Source organism: Homo sapiens, chromosome 4, assembly GCF_000001405.40.
Source record: "Homo sapiens chromosome 4, GRCh38.p14 Primary Assembly".
Classification (NCBI taxonomy): domain Eukaryota; kingdom Metazoa; phylum Chordata; class Mammalia; order Primates; family Hominidae; genus Homo; species Homo sapiens.
The window spans coordinates 1,791,427-1,815,621 of record NC_000004.12 but is presented as its reverse complement, the minus strand read 5'-3'; the positions used below and the strand labels follow the sequence as shown (position 1 = coordinate 1,815,621).

General features: G+C 63.9%; 2 protein-coding genes across 21 annotated transcripts in view, besides 3 other annotated features; one reads left to right on the top strand and one right to left on the bottom strand.

Moving 5' to 3' along the window:
- The window catches only part of LETM1 (leucine zipper and EF-hand containing transmembrane protein 1), a 44,678-nt gene extending 40,535 nt beyond the window's left edge, over positions 1-4,143 (top strand). For all 3 annotated transcript variants that reach the window (XM_006713884.2, NM_012318.3, XM_047415673.1), the window contains one exon: positions 1,049-4,143. In XM_006713884.2, the coding sequence (XP_006713947.1) occupies positions 1,049-1,198 (150 nt within the window). In that variant the 3' untranslated portion in view covers positions 1,199-4,143. The remainder of the gene's footprint in view (positions 1-1,048) is intronic.
- FGFR3 (fibroblast growth factor receptor 3) lies at positions 6,755-22,329 on the bottom strand. Of its 18 annotated transcripts, NR_148971.2 has the most exons (19): positions 22,157-22,329; positions 21,579-21,789; positions 16,099-16,368; positions 15,810-15,875; positions 14,086-14,255; positions 13,879-14,002; positions 13,597-13,787; positions 12,558-12,708; positions 11,786-11,930; positions 11,102-11,292; positions 10,653-10,798; positions 10,146-10,267; positions 9,953-10,063; positions 9,682-9,872; positions 9,449-9,571; positions 9,295-9,365; positions 8,939-9,076; positions 8,688-8,793; positions 6,755-8,506 (listed from the first exon to the last, which is right to left on the bottom strand). NR_148971.2 is itself a non-coding variant. In XM_006713868.2 (18 exons), the coding sequence occupies exons 2-18, from the start codon at positions 21,685-21,687 to the stop codon at positions 8,360-8,362; spliced, it is 2,436 nt and encodes an 811-aa protein (XP_006713931.1). In that variant the 5' UTR covers positions 21,688-21,789; positions 22,157-22,329; the 3' UTR covers positions 6,755-8,359. The 18 variants fall into 18 exon arrangements, 17 of the variants coding, with proteins under 17 accessions (XP_006713931.1, XP_006713932.1, XP_006713933.1 ...); XM_006713868.2 differs by lacking the exon at positions 11,786-11,930 and having other exon boundaries at positions 6,755-8,509; positions 11,096-11,292; XM_006713869.2 differs by lacking the exon at positions 11,786-11,930 and having other exon boundaries at positions 11,096-11,292.
- Positions 19,835-20,363: an enhancer, noted in NCBI's record as "H3K4me1 hESC enhancer chr4:1796986-1797514 (GRCh37/hg19 assembly coordinates)". NCBI's record gives its function as "activates a minimal SCP1, AML or CMV promoter by ChIP-STARR-seq in naive H9 embryonic stem cells {active_cell/tissue: H9 hESC(naive)}" and the evidence as "EXISTENCE:reporter gene assay evidence [ECO:0000049][PMID:30033119]".
- Positions 22,072-22,221: a silencer, noted in NCBI's record as "silent region_15145". NCBI's record gives its function as "represses an Ori minimal core promoter by ATAC-STARR-seq in GM12878 lymphoblastoid cells {active_cell/tissue: GM12878}" and the evidence as "EXISTENCE:reporter gene assay evidence [ECO:0000049][PMID:35858748]".
- Positions 22,272-22,511: a silencer, noted in NCBI's record as "silent region_15144". NCBI's record gives its function as "represses an Ori minimal core promoter by ATAC-STARR-seq in GM12878 lymphoblastoid cells {active_cell/tissue: GM12878}" and the evidence as "EXISTENCE:reporter gene assay evidence [ECO:0000049][PMID:35858748]".

Here is a 24,195-nt window from a genome sequence, read left to right as displayed (position 1 = left end):
CTGGAGTGGGGTGGGGCAGGGGGACTGTTCATTGCATGTCCGGCACCCTCCTGGGCAGCTACCCCCTCCTGTCAGGGGTTTGGGTCTGTCACTGCGACTGCTCCTTTAAGCCGCTGCTCTCATTTGAAACATCAGAAGTGAGAAATTATTGAAGTTACAACTCAAGTGTTGAGAGAGAAAACGCACCTAGTGGCTACGCATGTCCCTGGACCCCGCCCCCAGCTGGTGGCACTGGGGAGCCGGGGGGGTGCAGCAAACACCTCTCAGGGGCCCCCGACGCTGAGGGGCGACTGCACAGGGAGCCTGGGGGCACTTCACACCTGCCGGGGGCCCCCAAAGCTGAGAGGCAACTACACAGGGGAGCCGCGGGGCAGCTTGGGCACCGCCCCAAGGCTGAGAGGTGACTGCTGGGCTGAGCTCCCAAGTGCAGCCACTCAGGTTCCAGGGTAGCCCCGGAGACCCTGGCCCAGGATCCAGTCTCTGGAGGGAAGGCAGGGCTCTAGCCTGAGTGCGCACACCAATTTTCCCAATCACTGACATCTCTGAGGGGAAGCTGCCTCGTGGCTCCCGGTGCATGCATCAGGTTAGTGATTTTCCAGACGTCTAACAGAAGTGTTGGCTGGTTTCTTGCAGTTCAGTTTGGAAGCAAGGATCATGTATCTACTGCACAGCTGCCCTTCCCTTCCCTGCTAGTCTGGGTGGCAGAGTGGGGACAAGGTCCCTGCATGTCACCCCACTCTGCCCTGGGAAGCCATGGCCCAGGTTCCTGGCCAGAGCAGGAACTTGACCCTGGCAGCCCCATTGTGCTGTCTGCCACCTGTCAAGGCAGCCCCCTGGCTCCTTTGTCCTCCCACTCTGAGCCCCTTCCCCAGGGTCTGTGGCACCCCTTGGGGGAATTGGTGCTCTGAGGACCCTGGGGCCCGCAGGCAGTGATTGCGTGCATGCTGCTGCCACCCCAGCTGGGGCGACTGACGGCGCTGGCCCCGCCTCTGCCTCACTGTGCTGTAGGGCGCAGCCACCTGAGCCTCTCCCTTTCCCACGTGTGTAGGTGATTGAGCTGGTGGACAAAGAAGATGTTCACATCTCCACCAGCCAGGTGGCTGAGATTGTAGCAACACTGGAAAAAGAGGAGAAGGTGGAGGAGAAGGAGAAGGCCAAAGAGAAGGCAGAGAAGGAGGTCGCAGAGGTGAAGAGCTAGAACCACTGGCCTGGGCACCTGTCCTCCTGCTGTGCCGTCACCCTGGCAAGGGCCGTGAGGGCGATTGCTTTGTGGTGATTCTCAGTGGCTCATCTAATATTTTGGCTGGAATAAATCAGAGACTTCCATAATCAAGTAAATTTTAATTTTCATCATTCCACGGAGATTCAGTCTGTCTGGAATCCCGGAACCCCTCCACAGAATCGTGTCTGGATCCACACTGTGGTGTGGCTGCCACGGCCTCCTGGCTCCAGAGGCAGCTGGGCTGGGCCAAGGCAGGAAGGCGCCCCCATGTGTGTGGCCTCAGTCTCAGCATCTGACTGTGCTGCCCTGTCCCCAGGGAAGAGAATGAGGACCACGTGGACTCCGCCCACACAGAGCTGGCTGCTGTGCCCACCCTCAGGGGCGTCAGGAGACACAGCCTGGCCTCCTCAGGGCTGAAGATGCCTCCATTCGCCTGTGGACCTTGATTTCTAGATTTCAGTGTCAATAGACCTGTCTTCCTGCACACTTTCAGTTGGATGTGGGTCATTGTGGAGACAGAGGTGTCTGCCATCTCTGTGGCCTCTGGAGAGTGACGTCTCCCTGCTGGGAGTGCTGGTTCTCACGTGCGGTTTCCCTTGTGTATCGGAGCTCTTTCTCGGCTTTCTATTTCCCCCAGTTCTTTAAGCAGTCAATTGGCACAGAGTTTCCCACGGGGGCTGCAGTGGATTCACTGTGTCAGGGATGAGCCTGGCTTGGGGGTTGGTGGGGCTCTGAAGCGCATTTGGGGTTCTTTGTAGCTTCTAATGTGAGGTTTGAGTCCAGTGCGCCCACAGCAGCATGCCCTTCTCACCCCTTGCAGTGTTGCAGGCTCAGGCCCCTGGGCTCCTTCAGCAAGCAGGCTAGTCAATGAGGCATGAGGATCCGGCACAGGGCATCCCCTGGGGCTTCAAGGGCAATACCCCCGTGCTTAGGGTTTGCCCTGTGCCCTCTGGGTGGGGTGGCCTCCCCGCACTCGGCAGCATGGCCAGGCTGGCCAGGGCGTGGGCAGGTGGTGTCCTGTGGCACCTCCATCCTCCTGCCCAGCCGGCTGTGTCACACTCATCTTTTTAAGGTCAGGTTGGTTCCTGGCAAAAATGTACCTCCAGGGGCCTCCAAGCATAGGATTTGGAAGACAGGAACGGCACAGGCGTCCAGGAAAGCAGCTGCACTCAGACAATGCCTTCTCCATTACTTGAAGCTTCTTTCTGTTCAGCCATTAAAGAAACTTGACAAAATAGGAACAGGAGATATTTCTCAATTGTAAACCTTTGTGCAGGGACAGTTGGCTTCCAGAGGCTTTCAGCTTTCAGTTATTTGAGAAGTTTGTTTTAGATCCTTAACTAATATTTATGAATTCTCTCACCCTGTGTAAGTAGCCTGGTGTTCGTTTGTCCAAGTGTACTTACCCTTGAGAACAAGTCTTGCAGTTGCCAGGTGTGTGCAGACGCCTCTCCTGTGAGCGGCATCGCGGGCCCAGTCAGCTGCCCCGGCTCTCATCCTCGTCCTCACTGCCTTGGCTGAGCACTGTTGACGTGAACAGCCACTGCAACAGGCAGCCCATCCCACTGTCCCCTCTGCCCTGGACTCCGCATGGCCTCCAAAAGCCAGCTTGCCCTCCGGGTGCTGCAGGGGCTTTGCAGGTGGGGAAGGCTCTGGTGGGTGCCTTTGGTGGCTTCCGTGACATCAGCCGTGCTCTGATGCAGGCTTGCTCCCTCGTCATTCTCCCTCGTCATTCTCCCTCATCGTTCTGTGTGCATTTTTCTCTATGTCCTGACCTTTCTTCTTGCACCTAAAAGTGGTGTCTGGGTGCAAATGTAAGCAGTGGTGGATCCAGAAATATGAGCTTTGTGTAATAAGCTTCTTAAAACAGTCCTTTCTTACACCTGCCCAGGGCCAGACCCTCGGTCTTGGCCTTTTTCAGGAGCTAGGATATCTGCGCCTGGTGAAAATGAAACGAATTCCTGATTTAGGAATTCAGTGTTTCCTCCTCACTCCAGCTAAGCACTCACTTTTTTTTTTTTTTTTTTTTTTTTTTGATACAGAGTCTCGCTCTGTCACCCAGGCTGGAGTGCAGTGGTGCGATCTCGGCTCACTGCAAGCTCCACCTCCCGGGTTCAAGCGATTCTTCTGCCTCAGCCTCCTGAGTAATTGGGATTACAGGCATGCGCCACCATGCCCAGCTAATTTTTTTTTTTTTTTTTGAGACAGAGTCTTGCTCTGTCTCCCAGGCTGGAGTGCAATGGCGTGATCTCGGCTCACTGCCAGCTCCGCTTCCTGGGTTCACGCCATTCTCCTGCCTCAGCCTCCCGAGTAGCCAGGACTACAAGCACCCGCCACCACACCTGGCTAATTTTTTTGTATTTTTATTAGAGACAGTGTTTTACCGTGTTAGCCAGGATGGTCTCGATCTCCTGACTTCGTGATCTACTCACCTCGGCCTCCCAAAGTGCTGGGATTACGGGCAAGTTTTTATTAGAGATGGGGTTTCATCATGTTGGTCAGGCTGGTCTTCAACTCCTGACCTCAGGTGATCCACCCGCCTCAGCCTCCCAAAGTGCTGGGATTACAGGCATGAGCCACCGCGCCCGGCCTGAACTCTCAGTTCTAACGCAGGGATTCAGGAATTGGGCTTTCAGACTCCTTCTGCAGTGTCACAGTCCAGACTTTTTTTAAATGAAGGACACCCCGCAGTGGCTCACAGTGGGTCCCAGGGCTAGCAGGAGCGTGCTGGGGAGCCGGCTCTGTCTTTGTTCGCAGTGGGTCCCGGTGCTGGCAGGAGTGTGCTGGTGAGCCGGCTCTGTCTTTGTAAATCCTTCAGGGGTCCTACGGCTGACTCCACCGGACAGCCCGTCCTGGGCCGTGTTAAGCACCTTTTGTAGAAATCGTATTTTTATTAAAACATCAAATCTGTGTTCCTGTAACAGTGCAGAGTAATAATATTTCTGAACCGTTGGGCACACAGGAGCGAGTGGAAGCCGGCAGAGCTGTCCACGTGGCTGCAGGGGCTGGGCCTTGGGGCGCGTGTGGCTGTGAGGCCAGTTCCAGAAGGAGCCTCACCATCCCTGGGGGTTTGAGTGCTGGGCCGCCCTCCATGGGTTCAGCCCTTGGCTTCACGCTTCCTGCTCTGCAGGATGGGCCTGCAGGGTCAGGAGACCCACGTCCCCAGGTCCTGTGACAGCGTGAGCTGCTCATGGAACAGTGTGGGACGTTCTCCAGGCCAGTGGCCCTGCCACCTGGTCATGCTCTCCCTGCTCTGGGGACCTCAGTGACTTCTTGGGAGTCCTGGGGTTAGGGGCTGGGACCCTCGCCGAGGTGTCACCCAGGAGGGCCAGCTCTTCTGAAAGACTCCTCAGGCCGCTGAGGGGAAAGAGCACCGAGTACTGCCCTAGGGAGTCCTGGATGAGGCAGGGCCTTCAGCCTGCAGTCCAGCCCACAGGCAGGGCCCAGACGCCCTGAGGGATGTGTGATGGCCTGGGGCCATGGAGAGCAGCCCCCAGCCCGGACCTCTGGGTGCCTACCTGCCTCAGCGTGGCCTGGCTGCAGGAGTGCGTGGATGGTTCCAGCGCCAGGATAGCAGTGTGGTGTCTTGGCTCCCGACCCTTCTCAGTGGACAGAAGCCATCCCTTAGGTGCTCTGCCCACACTGGGACCAGGCCCTGTGGGCACCTCACAGGCTTCTCTGCGGCCCTGGCTGCTGGTTTGTTCACACTGAGAGTCCTCCCTCGGGGCCTCCCTTGACCCCTAGGCCCTAATTAATCAGAGGAAATGATGGACCCACAGCTGGGGTGGGAGGTGCTCCCTCATGGGGACAGCAGCCCAAAGAGCTGTGAACAAACCAGGTGCCCTTGGTGACCCCAGGAGCCACCAGTTGTGTCCTGGAAGCTGGGCCTCCCATGAGACATGTCCCCCTCAGCCATCAGCAGACAGCAAGGGCGGGGACCCTGCCAGCCTAGAGCACACCCAACCACTAGAGGGCACCCTGATGGCGGAGGTTCAGTTGTGCTGACAGCTGGGGTCTCTCATGGGCTCACCTTATGGGACAGGGGGAGGCAGCCAGGGAGCCCCTGGTGGGGCAGCTTCAGGGACTGTGCCCTGCCATCTGGGGTCGCTAAGGAAGCACGCTGAGGAGGAGGGGGCTGGCCCACCAGCACCTTCATGGGCCACTGTTCTCCCGGTGGCCCAGCCCTTTGGTCCCCAGCACCCATTCAGGATCCCACTGTGCCCACCAGAGGTCCACCAGAGCCCTGACAGGAGAGGGGCCTTGGGTTTGTAGCAGGGACACTGCCCAGCCAGCGCTAGGGGGCGCTCCCGGCCCGCGCTTCGAGCCCCATGCTCTGCCTGCCTTGGTGTGGATGCTGGCACTGCCTGCCTGTTGGCCTGGTCCCCCCACTGCCCTGCAGGCCTCAGCCTTCAGGCCCATGTGGGCCTCCCCATCCTGCCACTGTCACCAGGCGTCCCATGGCCAGGCCTGCCTCTGGGGCCCAGCATAGGGTTTCTGGGCAAGTGGGGGCATTAGGGATGCAGAGTCCCTTGTAAGGCCACTTCCACCAGGCCTGCGCCCACACGTGCTTCCCTGAATGGGGTTGAGTTAAACCCTTGCCTGCCCAGGAAACGGGCCAGCAGTACCCCCTGACCTGAAAGGTGAGTTTGTAGCCAGAGCATTTTAGAAGCTAGAGTTCATGCAGCTCATGGTTGGGAAACCCTGCTCTTGAGCCAGCAGAGGGGAGGAGAGCAGAGGGAGGACGGCAGAGGGGACAGCAGAGGTAGGGAGAGCAGAGGGGATGGGGGGAGGAGAGCAGGAGGAGGACGACAGAGGTGGGGACAGCAGAGATGGGAAAAACGGGAGGACAAGAGAGGGAGGATAGCAGAAGGGAGGACAGCAAAGAGGGTGGTGGGGAGTCAGGAGAGACGGCACACCTCCTCCAGGAAGCCTTCCCAGACTTGCTCTCACCATGTTGTCCTCCCACCCTGCTAGGGCTATGAACTTGGGCAAGGGCCTGGTTCCATCTCTGGGTTCTCAGCACCTCATCTGCCCAAAGGTGCTTTATCACTGTAGGGGACCCTGATGGAGCCCAAGGCAGTGGGGGCACTGGTTGCCCGGCCTGGGAGGGCAGAGAGCTGATCTGGAGGAGAGTGACCGCCTGTGTAGCCCCCAGGGCCCCATGAGGGCTTTGCTTGCTTTTGGCTCCATAGAGGGATGCCCAGAAAGCTCCCCAGCTGACTGGGAAGGCGGATGCCAGGAGTGGGGTGATGAGAGAAGGTCTGCCTCAGAGCTAGTGAGAAAGGACCCTCCCCACCACCACCACCACCTCAGGAACCCACAAGCTGGGAGCAGCCAGGGCAGTGCACCCCCAGGCACCCTGCTCCCTTCCGCCAGGCCCCTCCCATAAACATTCCTTGCTCTTGGGGCTCCCAGCCCACCAGTGACTTTCGGTGCTGCTGCCAGCATCCATCCCGCGCAACTGGGACCACCTGGCAAAGTGACCCCTCCCTCCCCTATCCCAGAACTGGAGACAGAAAGCACAGGGCCAGGTTAGCAACCAGGTGTCTTTATTTTTCGGAAAGTTCGTCGCTGGGTTAACAAAATCGCACCTGCCGGTTTGGGTGACACCTCTGGCCACCATGCACTGGGCCCCAAGAAGAGACCACCCTGAGCCATGGCCCTGCAGGCAAGCAAGGGACAGCTGCCCAGACTCAGGGCCCAGTAACAGTACAGAACGAACCAACTGAATTCACGGCTTCCCTCCAAGCTTTGAAAGGTAGCAGTCCAGGCTATAAAACTCTAGAAGCATTGCGTAAGAAGTGTTAAGTCTACAACAAATACATCTTGTAAAAACTCAATAAATTATATATATAGATATATATAAACTTGTAACATCTAATAACATCGGAACCTGCACACAGGGCCGGCCCCTCCCTGGAAACCGTCTCCCTGCCTGGGACACACAGCAATTAGAAGAATTTGTATGAAAATACCAGCTTGCTTTGAAGTCCAAAAAATAAATCTCCTAAAGAAAAATCCTATAGAAATCTAATTCTCCTGAAAAAGGACAAAGGAAATAAAATATCTTCACTGGAATCACCTCCAACTATTAACAACCTTTTAGGCTTGGAGGGGATCCTCCAGCTCCGGGGCAGGCTGGACGTACATTCTTGGCCGTCCCTCTATCGGCGGGATAAACCTTCTCGGTTGTCAATAAGTTAAAAATTAAAACTCTCCGCCATGTGGCCAGCTAAATGCTGGAAGTGTTGGGGTGTGGGAACAAGAGTGCCAGGGGCCCATAAATAGCTTTACAAATATACAGGTCCAGTTTTAAAACAAAACTGCGGTGCCAGAAAAGGCCCTGGTCCTCTGCTTGCATGGGTGAGACCCCCTGGGGCCTCCCTCCACGCCCCCCCACGCCCCGCCCAGGGCCATGCCTGCCTCCTGTGCCCCCAGGGTCGCAGGCCTCCGTTGTACCAGCCTTTTCCTCTTCCATATATGTTATATATATATATGTATATATACCATATACACAGCATCTATTTATAGAAATGTACACTAGTTTCCGGAATAAACCTTTTGCATAAAAGGTAAAGGCTCCCATCTTCAGGTACCCGTAATTTCAGTCTCTGAGGGGCAGGGTGGGAAGTGGGAAAGCCTGGAGGTGGGGAGGCGGTGCCACTAACACCCCAGGCACAAGGTGCTGGACATGTGGGGCTTCCCTGCAGGCTCAGCTTTGGGTGTGGGAGGGGCCGAGGCCCACCCTGTGATGTCCCGTGGTGCAAAGGCAGAGGCCGGAGCCATGTCGGGCCCAGCTCCCTGCCCCACGGGGGTCCCACCGGGTGGGCCCACTTACATTCTGCACTGGGTCCCCCCAGAACAAAGGCCCCTCGGTGCTGCAGCACCAGTCAGGAGACCGTTGCACAGCAGCGGGGACACCCAGGGTACCTCTGCACCTGGAGGCAAGATGCGCACGCACACAGGCACACGCGGATGTGCACACACACACACACACACGCACACACACACACACAGACCAAAGCTCTGTGTAGCTGTCTCTCCATCTGCACTGAGTCTCATGCCGGGGAGTGGCTGTGCACCAGCAGCAGGGTGGGCTGCTAGGGACCCCTCACATTGTTGGGGACCAGTGGCCCTTCACGTCCGCGAGCCCCCACTGCTGGGTGGGGCCGGGGGCAGCAGGTCGTGGGCAAACACGGAGTCGTCCCCTGAGGAGCTGGAGCTGGGGGTGTCCTGGCCACCCGGGGAGTACTGCTCGAAAGGCGCCGACAGGTCCAGGTACTCCTGCTGGCGGGAGGCGGGGTGAGCGCTGTGCCACCGAGCCCCTCTTCGCACAGCCACCTCTGTGCCCAGGCTGTGCCCCAGAAGGCCCGCCCCACACCTCAGCACTCTGGGGGGCAGGATGGCCGGGGACGGCAGGGGGAGGGGCATAGGCGGGTGGCACCAGGCCAGAGCCAGCACTCACGTCGGTGGACGTCACGGTAAGGACACGGTCCAGGTCCTCCACCAGCTGCTTGAAGGTGGGCCTCTGGGAGGGCGCGGCATGCCAGCACTCCCGCATGATCATGTACCTGCGGGCAGGGCGCTCAGGAGTGAGCCCCGCCGCTTCCCGCCTTATTCGGGAACAGCCTGAAGGGCTGCCAGTCCCTCCCCCGCCCAGCCCCGGAGGGACCCCCACCCCTGAGGACCCAGTGGAGGGCCAGGGATGCCACTCACAGGTCGTGTGTGCAGTTGGCGGGCTTGTCCATGCGGTGGCCCTCCTTCAGCAGCTTGAAGAGCTCCTCCACAGGGATGCCGGGGTACGGGGAGCCCCCCAGCGTGAAGATCTCCCAGAGCAGGACCCCAAAGGACCAGCTGCAGGGGAAGGTGAGGTCAGGCTGTCCTGAGACTCCCAGGACAGACACCTGGGCGGGCACCAGGGGAATAGGCCAGGGCTGCGCTGCTGCCCCCAGGGAGGGGTAGAAACCACACCCAGGAGCTCCAGGGCACAGGCCTGGGGACTGCAGCTGGGGTCCTGGCTCTGCCCAGTTCCCGCCTCCACCCCTGAAGCCTGAGCTCTGCAGGACACGTACACGTCACTCTGGTGAGTGTAGACTCGGTCAAACAAGGCCTCAGGCGCCATCCACTTCACGGGCAGCCGGCCCTGGGAGGGTGTGGGAAGGCGGTGTTGGCGCCAGGCGTCCTACTGGCATGACCCCCACCCCCGCACCCCAGGGCCGGGCTCACGTTGGTCGTCTTCTTGTAGTAGTCGAGGTTGTGCACGTCCCGGGCCAGCCCGAAGTCTGCGATCTTCATCACGTTGTCCTCGGTCACCAGCACATTGCGGGCAGCCAGGTCCCTGTGGATGCACTGGGGAAGGGGTGGGAGGCAGGGCTGAAGCCTCTCCACCTCTCCCCGCTGCTCCCAGCATCTCAGGGCAGGGCCCAGCCTACTCCACCCACACCTGCCGCCCTGCCCACCTTCTGGGAGGCCAAGTACTCCATGCCCCGGGCCACCTGGTAGGCACAGGACACCAGGTCCTTGAAGGTGAGCTGCTCCTCGGGCGGCTTGCAGGTGTCGAAGGAGTAGTCCAGGCCCGGGGGCCGCCGCGCCCGCAGAAACTCCCGCAGGTTACCCTTGGCCGCGTACTCCACCAGCACGTACAGGGGCCCTGGGGACACGGGCTCCTCAGACGGGCTGCCAGGCCCAGGAGGGCCGCCCAGCCGGCACCACCGCCGCTACCGCACCTACCGCCCTGCGTGCAGGCGCCCAGCAGGTTGATGATGTTTTTGTGTTTCCCGATCATCTTCATCATCTCCATCTCAGACACCAGGTCCGACAGGTCCTTGTCAGTGGCATCGTCTGTGCACGGAGCGGGGGGCCTGTGTCAGGCGGCGGCGGCGCCCCCAGCCCTGCTCTGCACCCCTGGCCGCCCCCTCCTCACCTTTCAGCATCTTCACGGCTACGGTGACAGGCTTGGCGGCCCGGTCCTTGTCAATGCCGATGGCCTCCGCCATGACCACCTGGCCGAAGCAGCCCTCCCCAAGGGGCTTGCCCAGGGTCAGCCTGGCAGTGGAGGCAGAGGGACCATGAGTGTGCAAACTCGCCCACTCTCAGCCCACCACGGTCCCCACCCCAGCCTGGCCCAGCCCTTGAGGCCCAGAGCCACCACCTCCAGGAAGCCCTCCATGCTCCCCCTACAGCCTGCTCGTAAGGACGAAGAGTGTCACCCACAGCCTCCCGCCCTTGCTGCCCCTCCAGACAGGGCACCTTGAGAGGGGCAGTCCCTGCCATACACCCGTCCCAGGAGCATCTCCACAGAACCCCAGCCACACCCAACATCCGCCACATCCCTGACGGCCCCTAAACCCAGCCGGGCCTCTGACTGGTGGCTGTTTCACCCCCACCACCAAGCCCCCTACAGCCAACGCTGGCCCTCAGCACCACTGACCGGGCCCGAGACAGCTCCCATTTGGGGTCGGCAGGCAGCTCGAGCTCGGAGACATTGGCCAGCGTGGGGCCCTCCCCTGAGGACAGCCTTGCGATGCGCACCAGTGGTGTGTTGGAGCTCATGGACGCGTTGGACTCCAGGGACACCTGCTTGGGTCAGCAGGGGCAGGTTGGCGCCGCGTGGGCGACAGGGCGTGGAGGTACAGCCGGGGGTCAGTGCTGGGCCAGAAGGGGGGGCGTTCTGACTTCCACCAGCATTGAATGAAGATTTTTAGAATGTTTCGTGCCCCAAAGTACCCTAGGCTCTACATGGTGAGCAGAGACGAGGAGAGGGGAGCCCGCCTGGCTGCAGAGAGGGCTCACACAGCCCAGGACCAGCGTGGGCCGAGGTGGGGCTCCAGGAGGCCTGGCGGGCAGGCAGCTCAGAACCTGGTATCTACTTTCTGTTACCTGTCGCTTGAGCGGGAAGCGGGAGATCTTGTGCACGGTGGGGGAGCCCAGGCCTTTCTTGGGGGGGCTGCGCAGGCGGCAGAGCGTCACAGCCGCCACCACCAGGATGAACAGGAAGAAGCCCACCCCGTAGCTGAGGATGCCTGCATACACACTGCCCGCCTCGTCAGCCTCCACCAGCTCCTCCTCGGCTGCAAAGACATGGGCGTTGAGGCCTGGCCTGGCCCCCCCCCCCACGGGGCTCCCATGGATGCCCCTGGCCCAGAGCCGCAGGCACCACTGGGAGCGGAAGGGGGCTCAGAACCTCAGCACGCGCCTTGTCTGGAGGGTCTCGCAGTCAGTAACGCCAGTGAGTCTAGAGGGCCAGACCCTGGAGAGAAGGAGCCCAGCAGAGCCAGCCAGTCCCACACCGCCACCAGGCGCCCGGGAGACACCAGAGCCACAGGAGAGGCCTTTGGGGACCCAGATGGGAAGTGGGCTCGAGGGGGCTGAGGGGGCCCCTCTGGGACCAGGACCGGGCCAGGCCAACTTTGTCCCCACACTGGGCACAGGGCCAGGAGTGAGGGCTCAAGAAGCGGGACGGCCGTAAGTCACAGGATTCCCGTCCGTCCTGGCAGCTTTGGCGTGTCCCGAGCCAGCGTCCCCCAGACAGTGCGGAGCAGCAGCAGCAGCAGAAGCCGGTACCTGGCAGCACCACCAGCCACGCAGAGTGATGAGAAAACCCAATAGAATTGCCCGCCAGGCAGGTGTACTCCCCGGCGTCCTCAAAGGTGACGTTGTGCAAGGAGAGAACCTCTAGCTCCTTGTCGGTGGTGTTAGCGCCCGCCGTCTACAAAGAGAGAGCAGAGCGATAGGCGAGCGCCAGCACCGCCCTGCGGGCACCGCACAGAGTCCACACGGCAGGATCCAGCCGCTGCAAGGAAAACGCCGCCACCACCAACTCCTCAGCCACCGCCAACTTGGTCACCGCCACGCGGCTGAGGGCCCTCCGCCTGGTACACCGGTACTGAGCCCGAAGCCAGGCCCCTCCACCGGCGAGTCCTCTGTCCCAGGTGAGCGGCAGGCGGGCAGGCAGCATGCGGGTTAGCGCAGAGCCGGGCGGGTGCAGGTGGAGGATGGACACAGGGACACACAGGCTGCGGAAGCGAGCAGGCAGCGGGCAGGGGTGGAGAGAGGCGCAAAGGGGTGCTCACAGACGGCACGGAGCCGGCCCGGTGGGCACCGGGCACCTCCTGTGGGGGTCGCAGGCGTGCGGGAAGGGTCGGCGCAGGCCACAGGGCTCGAAGCGGGCGGTCACCGTGGAGGCTGGAGCTGCCAGCCTTGCCGAGGCGGCCCCGAGTGGAGCGCGAGCCGGGGCGGGAGCGAGCAGGGCTGGGCGTGCGGGGCGTGCAGGGCGCGCGGCCAGGGCCTTGGAGCTGGAGCTCTTGTGCCGGCCGGCATGGGACAGAGTCGTTACCTGCTCGGGGCCCGTGAACGCTCAGCCAAAAGGCCTTCTCGGCCACGCCTATGAAATTGGTGGCTCGACAGAGGTACTCGCCCCCGTCCCGCTCCGACACATTGGCCAGGCGGAGGCGCACGTCGGCCTCCACACTCTCACTGATCCAGGACTGCGGGGACAAGAGACCCGGCTCAGGCACGCCCCCGAGGCAGCCCCGCCGGGCACGAGGCAGGATGTGGGAGACCCCCAAGGTACAGATCGAGGCTGGGCTGCGTCAGCCCCAAAGGCTGCCTGGAGGAGGCGTGGAGGCACTTCACGGTGGCTGTGGTTTCACAGGATGCACGTCTCTGCCTCCACCCCAACAACCCAGCCCAGACCCTCAGACAACCTCTGGTCACTGGCCTGCCCTCCCCCGGGCTCTTGCAGAACCTGCACCCTGGACAGGGCCCGAGGCGGCCTCTCTGGGCGGGGTCTGGACTCCACCCTCGCCCTGCGCCTGCTCCCCGCCCCCAAGAGACCGTCTTCTCTCTGAACAGATGTTTCTCTTTGGGCTTTGAGTGTCGCAACCGTCCCAATTCAGTGGCCCCCACCCGGCAGCCATGGGAACAAAGCTAAGGGCTTCAGGAGGCGGGCAGACAGTGAGCTCGGGCCCCACTGCACACAGCTGACGAGAGCCAATCGGCCAGGTCGGGGCTCAGCCACCGCCTCTGAGGCCCAGAGGGGGCCTGGAGGGCTTGGCCACACTGCCCTCCTGTCCTGGGGCACCACTGCTGCCCAAGCCGCACCCACCCCCAAGAAGCCCGTGGGCAGCTCCATGTCAGGGACTTCAGTGGCTGAGGCTGGCCCTCTGCAGACACGGAAACGGGTCCCAACGCAGCTGCCTATGGCCCTGAGGTGTGGGGTGGCTGAGACTTGGCCCCACAAGCACCCCCACAGCTTCTGCCCCCGAAGCTCCAACCCCTAGACCCAAATCCTCACGCAACCCGCAGCCAAGGGGCACCCTTGGGGCCAGCCCAGGAGCCCCAGCGGCGGCACCCACGTGCACACGGTGGCCCACCTTGAGCACGGTAACGTAGGGTGTGCCGTCCGGGCCCACCTTGCTGCCATTCACCTCCACGTGCTTGAGCCACTGGATGTGGGGCTGTGCGTCACTGTACACCTTGCAGTGGAACTCCACGTCGCTGCCCAGCACCGCCGTCTGGTTGGCCGGCAGCCCCGCCTGCAGGATGGGCCGGTGCGGGGAGCGCTCTGTGGGGGCAGATGACGCTCAGGGGCCACCCCCTCCCTCACCACCACCGCCACTGCCGCCCCCACCCCCGCGCCGCCCCAGGGCCCTCACCCAGCACGTCCAGCGTGTACGTCTGCCGGATGCTGCCAAACTTGTTCTCCACGACGCAGGTGTAGTTGCCGCGGTCCGAGGGCACCACGCTTTCCATGACCAGGCTCCACTGCTGATGCCGCAGCTGCACCGGGACGCGGGCGGGTGAGTGAGCGGAGGCAGCAACCACCGCGCCTGCCAGGCCCAGAGCCACCCCGCCGCGCCCACCTTGATGCCTCCAATGCGGTGCTCGCCGCGGAACTCCCTGCCGTTCTTCAGCCAGGAGATGGAGGGAGTGGGGTTGCCAGCGGCTGGGCAGCGGAAGCGGACGGTGTTGGCGGCCGGCACGGCCAGCAGCTTCTTGTCCATCCGCTCGGGCCGTGTCCAGTAAGGGGCCCCTGCGGGCCGAGGTGCGTGTGAAGGCCATGACCCGAGTGGGAGCAGAGGCCCCTCTGAACAACCCCCTTCCCAGAGCTGCCCCTGCCCATCCCCAGCCTCAGTTTCCCGTCCTGTGTAGGAAGAGGGCGGGATGAGGTTCCCAGGAGCCTCCACATCTTGTCCCCTCCCCGGGGCTTTCTCAGAGCTGGGCCGTGTGTCCCCTCCCCTCCCCTCCAGGGTGCTCTGCCCGGACCTGTGAAGTCACAGGGCACAGGGCATTGTCCAGGGGAGCCCACCTGCCCAGAGAGGCGTGCCAGGGCCAGGCCCACCAACGGGGAGACTGAAGACCCAGGGGGCAGGCCCATCTAGTGGACAAGCCAGGACCTGGGAGCAGTTTACCAGGAGAGGAGCCCAGTCGCCTGCAGAGCCAGGAGCCTTGGAGGCAGCTGGGCAGCATGGGCCCACGGAAATCAAGACCCTACACCACCCTCTGCAGAGCTCCAAGTCTGGCGGGCACCCAGAGACGGTGGCACCCTGGAGGCCCTGCCTCCTCCCATCTCGATGTCCAGGGCTCCCACCACCCCTCTCACAGCCCAACTGGTTTTTCTCCTTCCTCAGGGCTGGTGCTGCCTTCCTGCCGGGACTCCAGGCAAGGATGGGCTGGCATTCCCCAGGAGGGAAGCAGCCCTCCCCTCAGTGAGCTCACTGCCAGCCCCCTCCAGGCACACGCCCATCAGGGGCACTGAGGCCCAGCAAGCAGCAGTGTGGACACAGGCTGGAAAGAGGCACCCCACGGTGCTGAGCTCCCTCCCAGGCCTCCTGGAGACCCCCAGGGTGAGTTCCCCCAGCTGTTTCTCTCATGGACTCAGCCTCCCTTCCTCACCTGCTTACCCCACTGGCCCAGGGACCCAGCGCACACACCATCAGTCCGCAAGTCGTAACTGCCCCCCATGTCTGTGCCACGATGACCCTCACCTGCACGCACTCCCCTCAGAGCTCCCTCCAAAACCAGAAGCCCCACCTCCCCACCCTACAACTTGGCAAAGTCCACCTGCCACCGTTCCAGGCCGGGACGCCAGGCATCGTCCCCGACTGCTCTCTCACAGCCGCAGCCCACCCACCAGCCACCCTCCTGCCAGCCACCCTGCCCGCCACTGGTTGTGGCAGGTGCCCCGGCGCCCTCACCCCGGGTCCATCCACCCCACGGCAGCCACCTGAGTGCCCTGCCCTGCTGCGCTAATGTCTGCGGGGTCCACCTCACCTATAGCCAACACCAGAGCCCCACAGGCCAGCCCTGGCCTCCTCCTGCTCCTGGAACCCCCAGGGCCCTGTGCCTCAGTCTCCCCATCAGCAACACGGTGTCCCCTTGCACCCCAGCCCTGCCACCAGGGTGGGGCATCTAGAGCCATGTCAGTGACCCAGCCCCTCCTGTATCCTGAGGGGACCAGACCTTCGGGGTGACCCCAGGGAGGTTGTTCCGGGGCCTTAGTCCCTCAGCTGCCTGTGAAGGGCAGGGCTTGGCGGTGGCAGCGGGCCCCACCCCGGCTGGCCTGAACCCTGGACCCTGCTCCTACCTGTGTCCACACCTGTGTCCTCAGCCTCGTCCTCCCCGTCTTCGTCATCTCCCGAGGATGGAGCGTCTGCAAGGCAGAGATGGCCGCAACCAATGCCCAACCTGCCCCAGGAGGCCCCCAGGTGCCCCTCCCAGATGGGGCAGGGTCCCCCATTTGGGCAGCACTTCCTGGGGGTGCCCTCCTCTCCACCAATGACCAGAGAGACCCCCAGCCGCTCCTGACCCACGCAGGGACTCAGGGAGCCCGGCACTCGGCTCCTTTCTGTAGCTGGCGTGGCCCCAGAGCTCACCTGTCACCCGCACACTGAAGTGGCACAGTACGCGCTGCGTGAGCCGCTGCCGGCAGCTGTAGGCCCCGGAGTCCTCGTGGGAGGCATTCAGCACCTGCAGCCGCTGGGGCCCCACCAGGACACGCTCCGAGGGCACCAGCCCTGTGCCATCCTTGACCCAGACAGTGGGCCCCATGGGACCACCCCCGGGCGGGGGACAGCTCAGCTCCACAGCATCCCCGCTGCCGAAGACCAACTGCTCCTGCTGGCCGGGCTCTGGGCCCGGGACTTCTGTGGGGAAGATGGGCAACCATGAGGCAGGCACCCCCAAACCCGGCACCGTTTACAGACACAGCAGTGGAAGCCTCGGCGGCCCTGAGTGAGGAAGGCTCTGACCCAGATCCAGGGTCCCACCAGACCAGGGGCTGGAAACTGTGTCCCAAAAGGGCCAAAGGTCTCTATCTTCAGCTTTGCCAACCAGTCTGTCCCAAGGACTCCGGTCTGCCTCGGTGTGACAGCCGCCTTCCCCACACAACCTGCAGCCAACCCCACAGCAGTGGCCCCATGATGCTTCACTCATGGACACGGAGAATTCAAATCTCAAAGTGTCACAAAATGTGACTCTTCGTTCTTTTAATTTGTTCAATTGCTTGGAAACATAAAATCCATGCTTGTCTCACAGGCGGCACCACGACGGGCAGGTGCTGCGGGCAAAGGGGACAGGCTGCCCTTTGCTGGCCTCTGACTGAAATGGAGCTCAGAGGGGGTGCCAGGGTTGGCCAGCCAGCCCCCTCGTGGTGCAGATTCACCCCAGGAGGGGTCCGTCCTCAGTAGCCCCCGCACCCCATATGAGCCTGAAAAGCAGTTCAGATGGACAGCCAGGGAACAGAACAGGCGAGAAGGAAGGAGGTGCAGGGTCACGTGGCCGTGTGGACGGTCTGGGGGGCGATGCGCGGGTTCACCGGTCAGAGCACAGGCCGGAGCAGCGCGAGGGGGCCGGGGCGGGGGTGGGGGCTCCTTGGGGTGGGCAAGGTTCTGTATCCTGCAGCTCCTATGGAAGCTCCACACGGCGGTCATGACGGAAAACATACCGAGAAGAGCAAAGTACAAACACGGCGCTGGGTCCGGCCAAGTGGGTCTCACAGGCCGGGGAGTGGGGAGGCCCAGGCGGGCCCTCAAGGGGGCCGGGGGGTGGAGTCCTGCTGCCTGCAGGGGGACTGGGGCCCCCTCACAGAGGACGACCAGGCTGGGGGCAGGAAGCTGTGAGAGCCAGGGCAGGTCAGCAGCCCTGGCCCCTCCCTGGGGGCTGAGAAGCTGGGGTGGGGGCCCACCCACAGGGGCAGATGTGCAGGTGGCCCCTGGGTCCCTCCCCAGTAGCTGCCCAGCTCCCCAGAGCCACCAAAGCCTGTGACCCAAGGACACACCATGGGCAGGGCTGGGGGGACAATCGCCCCTAGGCTTCCCTGCCAGGGCCAGACAATGCATGCAGGCAGGCGTCCCGGGCTTGGGGCCGGGACGGGGGTGGGTGGTCCCCCAGGCAGCCTCCTTCTTCAGACCCAGCTGGGCGGGTTGCGCCATCACTTGTCATTCTGCAGACGCGTGGCCTAGATTCGGGGGCCCAGCTGCCCACTCTGGCCACACCAGTCCCTGGCTGCCCGGCCAGGCCCTCTTCTGCCCAACCCACCTGATCCAGCCACACACGCCTAGTGCCCAGGGTGACCCTGCCAGCCAGAAGGGCCCACACTCATCCCCTGAAGCATCCGAAGGAGCCCTCGCCCCACCGGGACCCACAGCTCAAGGACTGCCCCTGTAGGGACCCCGCAGTCAGGGGGGCTCCTGGCCTGACCTCCAGCCCTCCGGTCCTGGCCAGTGTCTTGTGGGGACCACCCAGAGCTGGGAGCTGCTCGAGGCCCCCCAGAAGGCCGAGAACAGGCTGGTTATGGCAGCCTCAGCTGCAGGCCCTGGCCCAAGGGCAACAGCCGGTTGGTTCCGGTTTGGTCTGAGTGGCGACAACAGGTCAAGCCATCCACACAAGTATTTGCTTCAGCCTGGTCCAGCACGGGGGGACGGGGGACACAGCAGCCCCAGGCCAGCCACACCAGTGGCCATCTGCCCGTGTGTGGTGGGGAGGGTGCAGCCCTGACTGCCCCCCCCACTGCCTGCCTGCTAGGTGCCAGCAGAGGCCAGGGTACCCCAGCAGGGGCTGGGTGGCGAGCACCAGGTGAAGGACAGTGTGACACGGGGCATGAGTGGGTGCTATAAGTTCAGGGTCTGACTCCCACTGGGAAGTCAGCAGTTGGGTGGAGCCCCCATACCCCACCCAGCTGCCAGGCATGGGGAGAGCTATAGCCCCCCAGCAGCCCTAGGAAGGGTTCTTTCTTTCTTGATCCACAAAAGGGAGGCCCCACTGACACCACACAGACACTGGTGCCCAAACACGTTGGAGACAAAACTCCTGCTGTACCCAAGGCGGGGTAGGAGGCAACGCGTCCCACCTCCCACCCTTCTATGGATCCCACAACACGTGCTCCTGCCGGCGCCCCAACCCCACACAGTGCCGACCTCAACTTGGGCTCCACATGCCAACGACAGCCCTCTGCTGTGTCCCAGAGTCTCCACAACTCTGCCACTCACTGGTCCTGTACCTCAGTTTCCCCCACTGTGGCACAAAGTAAAAATCCCACCCCACAGGCCCAGGAGCTCAGGGAGGGCACCAGGCCCTGAAATGGCTGCAGGAGTGAGGGTAGGGGTGAGAGGCGCTCCCTGCCCTGGGTCTCTGGCCCCAAGACTGATGTCCATTAGGCAGGGTGCTGGGGACGGCCAAACTCTGGCCTGGGGAACCTTTCTCCAGGCTCTGGGTCTCTGCAGTGGAGGCCCAGTGCATGTGAGGGAGCATGGCTGAGAGGATGGGGGAGCCTTGCTCCATCATAAGCCCCTCGGGTTGACCCCAGAGAACAAGGATCAAATCCAGACTCGCTTCCGGAGCTGGCTGCCCCAGGGGTTTATTTGGGTTTTGGGGTGAGATGAGGGCCTGGGGTCAGGAAACAACACATTCTGGTTTCGGATGCACATGAAGTTCTCTGCAGCTCTCTGGGGTACAGGAGGTATTGCCAGGTAGGAGCTATAAAATAGCCTAAGAGGAGGGGGCCCCCAAAAGTCCAGCCTCCCTGTCTCCCCACCTGGAGTTTCACAATAAAGTCCGGAAAAAAGGGATCTGGAGGCTGGGCAGGCTAAAGAGGGCTTGCCAGGGTTATCTGGCCTAATCCTTCAAACAGCCTGCCATTATCGGTTCTCTTGGACAGGTAAGGAAACTGAGGTTCGAAGAGGGCACCCGAGCCTGAGCTGGCAGCCTAGAGGTCCAGGCTGACCCCTACCCCACCAAAGGTGGCTCCACTCCTGGCTCATTCACTCCTGAATCACTCAGGTGAGGGCTGCATGCCTCCCTAGATGAGGTGACTTTAGATCCCCGTCCTCCAGGAGACCCCAAGCCCCTGGGCTCCCACTCAAGCTCAGCTGTAACAAGGGGTGCCACAGCCCCAGATCTAGCCCCAAGTGAGACCTGAGGGCTGGGGAGCTGGGGGGTGGGTAACAAGGGGTTCCTAGGCTCACACAAGGACCTGGAGGCCAGGCTCAGCCCAGGTTAATGAACCACCCAGAGGCCCACGCGGCTCAAAGTCCAGCCCTGCAGAGGAGGAGTGGGGGAGGTTGCAGCCAGCACCTTCGGGAAAGGCCCTGCACCCCCAGACCCCTGCTGGGTGGGGTGGGACTGTGGGAGAGCCGACCTTGTGTACCTCCCTGCACCCTGGGGGGTCACTCCAGGTCCCAACCAGGAATACGGCCCCCTGGGGAGATGGGGGCTGTCCTGGCAGGGCCTGGGGTGGCCAGGGCAGTCCAGTGGCCAAAACCTTTCCCACCGCCCTTGACCCCTGCGAGCCAAGGCTCCATAATTTATGTTCCCGGGCAAGCGCCAGCCTAGACCTCAGTCCATTTCACGAGGTCTTTGTATTTTTACTGCCCGGCCCATCTTGTTAAGGAACCGGATTAAGTTTATTGACCGATCAACTCACTACCTGTTTCACCAGCTCCAGTGCGGGCGGGGGCGCCGCCCCGGGGGAGGGGTGGGCGGGGCGTTCCAGGAGCGACTGGGGGAGGCCCCGCGCGCCCGCAGGGGGTCCAGGAGAGGCTCCGCAGCCTGGCCGCCGCCCTTCCCCGGGGCTGGCTGACATTCCCGGGCCGTAGGGAGTAATATCTTTATCTGAATGAGAATGCGAAAGCCAAGCTCCCCCCGCGGCCGCCCCTCCGGCACCCCTGGAAGCGGGGCCGCCCGAGCAGACGCTAAAAGCGCGCGCTGACCTCCCGACGGCCCCTGTCACGCCGCTGAATGACACGCACATTCAAGCGCCGGGCCACTTTCATTCATAAAAAAAATGACATTGTTCCGGGAGGCTGCAGCCGCCGACGGAGAAAGGGGCGCGGGGGCGCGGGCGGGGCGGACGCCATCTGCCTCGGCCCTCCAGGCGCCCTCCCCGGCCCGCCGCGCCCGCGGTCGCTCACACCTCCCCGCGAGCCGCCGAGCCGCCATCAATGCGCGGTCTGTGGCCGCGTCGAGGTACAAAGAAGCGGCTGTTCGGGCCTCGGCCCGGGTGGGGCGCGAGCTCACCGGGCCAAGGCCTCCCTCCGCGCGGCCGCCGGGCTGAGCTGTGCGCGCCCCCCTCGCCCGTCCGGAGCCGGCTGCGGGTGTACGCGGCGGCGGCACCGGAGCTCTCGGCCCGGCCCACGAGGAACCGCGGCGCGTGTGCAGGTCCGGCCGGGCGCCCCTTCCCCTCCCCTCGCCCCTTGGGACCTCCCTTCAGACCCTCGACGTCCCGCGGGACCTGGACCGCCAGCCCAGTCTAGGGCCCGCGACGCTGGGACACGCGCCCCTCGCTTGCCTGGAGCTCGGCGCGCACCCACGGGGAAGCGCCCTCGGCCCCCAGGCAGGGGCAGGGTCGGCAGCGGGGACGCTGGAGGCTGCTGCCTCTTCGGGCGGGCAGGGGCCGGGCTTCGCTGACGCGCACACCCACCCTTAGAAGTCCGGTCTCTCGCCTTGGCCGAAGCTGGCCACAAACTGGGGCCCGGGGGAGGGGGACGCCAACAATGGGAACTTTCCGTCTGCGCAGAACCCGAATAACAACAGCGGGAATCGTGGAAATGGGGCCCCCCGCGCCCTCCCGACAGGCCAGGGCTAGGGAGTCGCAGGGGATCGGGGCTGCGGACGCCAACCCCCAGCCTGGCTCCCCGTGGTGGCCTCGCACTTGGAGGGTAGCTGCGGCTCCGGGCGCACCACAAGTCGCCGCGCTAGCTCTGGCCGCGCTCTCCGGCAAGGAGGCAGCGGAATCCGGGCTCTAACCCCGGGGCGTCACTCACACCCGGCGGCCCCTCCGACCCGGGGCCGGTTCCCGTCCCCAACGCCTCTGCCCGCACGGGCCGGCCTCTCCCGTGCCTAGTGGGTCCCTTCTTACCTGCCGCTCGCCCCACGACGCGCTGCTCCGTCCCCAAGGACTCCGAGGAGGCGCCGGCCACGATGGCCACGGCCACGCAGAGCGCGAGGGCGCAGGCAGGGGCGCCCATGGCGGGGGCGGGGGCCGCGGCGTCCTCAGGCAGCGCGCGCGGGCATGCTGCCCCCCACGGCCCGGCGCGGGCACCGGCGGGAGGCGGGCGCCGCTCGGGAGACTACAGGAGGAGGAAGGCAGCTCGTTAGAGGGGCGGACAGGGACGAAAGCGGCGGTGGCCGGCTCCTGCGTCCCGACCCCTCCGACCCCCAGCCGCCCCGCCCGCCGCCGCCGCCGCCCAGGGCTCCCGGGCCGCCTGGCGCCGGCCGCCTCCTCCCCGCCGCGGTCCCTCCCTCCTCCCCCTTCCCTCCCTGGCTGCTGCAAAGCCCTCCCAGGGCGGCGGCGGCGGCAAACTTTCCGGAGCGGGAAGCCCGCGCCCCGGCCCGGCCCGCTGCAGGGACCTCTGTGGTTCCGCGACAGCCGCGCCCCGACCCCTCCGCGAGCACCGTTGGACCCCTCCGCGAGCCTGCCCGGCCCCAAGCACGGACCTGGCGAGCGCCGGAGCCCGGCTCGCTACGCGCGGCTCCCGCTCCGGCTCGCTGTCCGCGGGCCCAGCTCCCGCCCCGTCCCTCCGGCCGGCGGCCCGCCGGTGCGTCCGTGCGACCGGCAGAGCAGGACCGCGCGGCGCCAGCTGCCCGCGACGCCGCCGCCACCGCGCACTGAGCCTGGGCTGCCCCGCGCGCCGCAGCCAGTGGGGGACGGTCCGCGCCCCGCCCCGGCCCCGCCCCGCTCCCGCCCGGTCCCCGCCCGGCTCGCGGGGGCGCAGGGCACGCCCCCTCGGGGCGGAGCGGGGCATCCGAGGGGGCGTGGCCGGGCGGGGGCGCCCGGCGGTCTCGAGGGCGTGGGAGCCGGGGCAGGCGGGCTAGGCCCCTAGTCGCACCGCGGGGCGGCCCAGGGGGCGGCGGGCACGGGGCGCACCGAGGGCGAGGGCAGGCCTGTGTTTGCATAGCGCGCAGCTCGGGTCCCCTGGGGCTGTGCTCAGGAGCTCAGAGGGGAGGTCTCGGCGGGGGTCGGGATGTCAGGAGGCTTCGCCGAGATGCCGCGGAGCTGAACCCTGTGGTGTGAGCGGCAATTCCTCAGGTGGAGGAGGGCAGGACGGCATTCCAGGCTGAGCCTCCCGTGTGCGCCGCAGGTCTGGGGCAGCCCGGCGCGGCCTGCGTACCTGACCGGCGAGGTGCAGAGGCTGCGTTGACTGACCTGGGGCCGCACGCAGCTAAGCCGCCTGAGAGCCCCGCGCGAGGGGTCCCTACCCCCCGCCCCCCAAGGAGGACACAGGCCTGGGGCTGGCTGCCTGCCCGGCCTAGGATGAAGAGCGGGGGCTGGATACCCCTGGCTTGGGGAGCACAGCCCGGCTCTGAGGGAGGATGACAGAGAGCTGGTGGCAGAGCCTGAGCTGGCCCGAGGTTCTGGGCTCCACGGGGTGGGCTCAGAGTCCAGCTGAAGAGGGGTGGGTTCCCAGGAGGGGAAGGTGCTGCCCTGCGGGGGACGCTGGAGGTGCCTGGGTCCCCTCACCCCACATGACTGTTGGCTTCTGTGTCCACCCTCACAAGGAAAAGGCCATCTGCTCCCACCTTCAGGCAAAGCCCAAGGAGGTCCGGGGCCCATGGGAGCCAGTGAGCTGGCCGGGAGGGCCGGCCGGGTGGGCTGCGTGCCTGGCTTGTGGCTTCCAGGACTGGAGGTGCTCATCAGGAAAATGGGCGCTGAAAGCCCCTCAGTGACTGGCTGCCTGCTGACCCCACCCAGCCCATGCACAGCCCCACCATGAATCTCCCAGAGGCCAGGGTGTCCCTGGGCTGACCTCAGGGACTTGGAAGGGCCCTGCTCCCAGGAAGCCCTCATGCCCACCCCTCTGTGCCGACTCGGTGGCTCAGCACCTGTCCTTGGCCACCCTCATTTCCTGCTCTGGCCAAGCCCATGTCCCCAGACCGTCTTGGGGCCCAGGCTCACCCACCTCCAAGTGCACTGTCCAGCCCCCTCCAGTGCACAGCCCCAGGTCACTGCCAGCCAGGTCCGCTCCCAGGACACCGTTCCCCAAGGCACAGCAGCACATTGGCCCTGCTCTTTTTTTTTTTTTTTTTTTTTTTTGAGAGGGAGTCTCGCTCTGTCACCCAGGCTGGAGTGCAGTGGCACAGTCTCAGCTCAAGCAATCTCTGCCTCCCTGATTGAAGTGATTCTCCTGTCTCAGCCTCCCAAGTAGCTAGGATTACAGGTGTGCACCACCACACTCGGCTAATTTTTGTATTGTTAGTAGAGACGGGGCTTCACCATGTTGGCCAGGCTGGTCTTGAACTCCTGACCTCAACTGATCCACCTGCCTCAGCCTCCCAAAGTGCTGGGATTGCAGGTGTGAGCTCTCTTAACCAACTAAGTCATCAGGTTCTGAAAGCACCAGCATGCGTGTGGGTCCTGACCTGACCGTCTTGCCCCTTCCCCTGGGGGACTGGATGGGACTGTGGGAAGGAGCTCACGCGTGGACAGGTCTCCCTCAGGGAACAGCTGCTGAGTGGGGCCCCTCCTGTAGGCAGAA

Bases quoted from the DNA above. Each gene is read 5' to 3' on its own strand.
- FGFR3 (XM_006713868.2), bottom strand. From the start codon at position 21,687: ATGGGCGCCCCTGCCTGCGCCCTCGCGCTCTGCGTGGCCGTGGCCATC. The intron at 9,873-9,952 runs GTAGGTGCGGTA...CCGTGTCCCCAG, and splicing joins GGGCGCCTGCACGCAGGGCG to GGCCCCTGTACGTGCTGGTG. The intron at 9,572-9,681 runs GTGGGCAGGGCG...CCCCTTCCCCAG, and splicing joins AGTACTTGGCCTCCCAGAAG to TGCATCCACAGGGACCTGGC.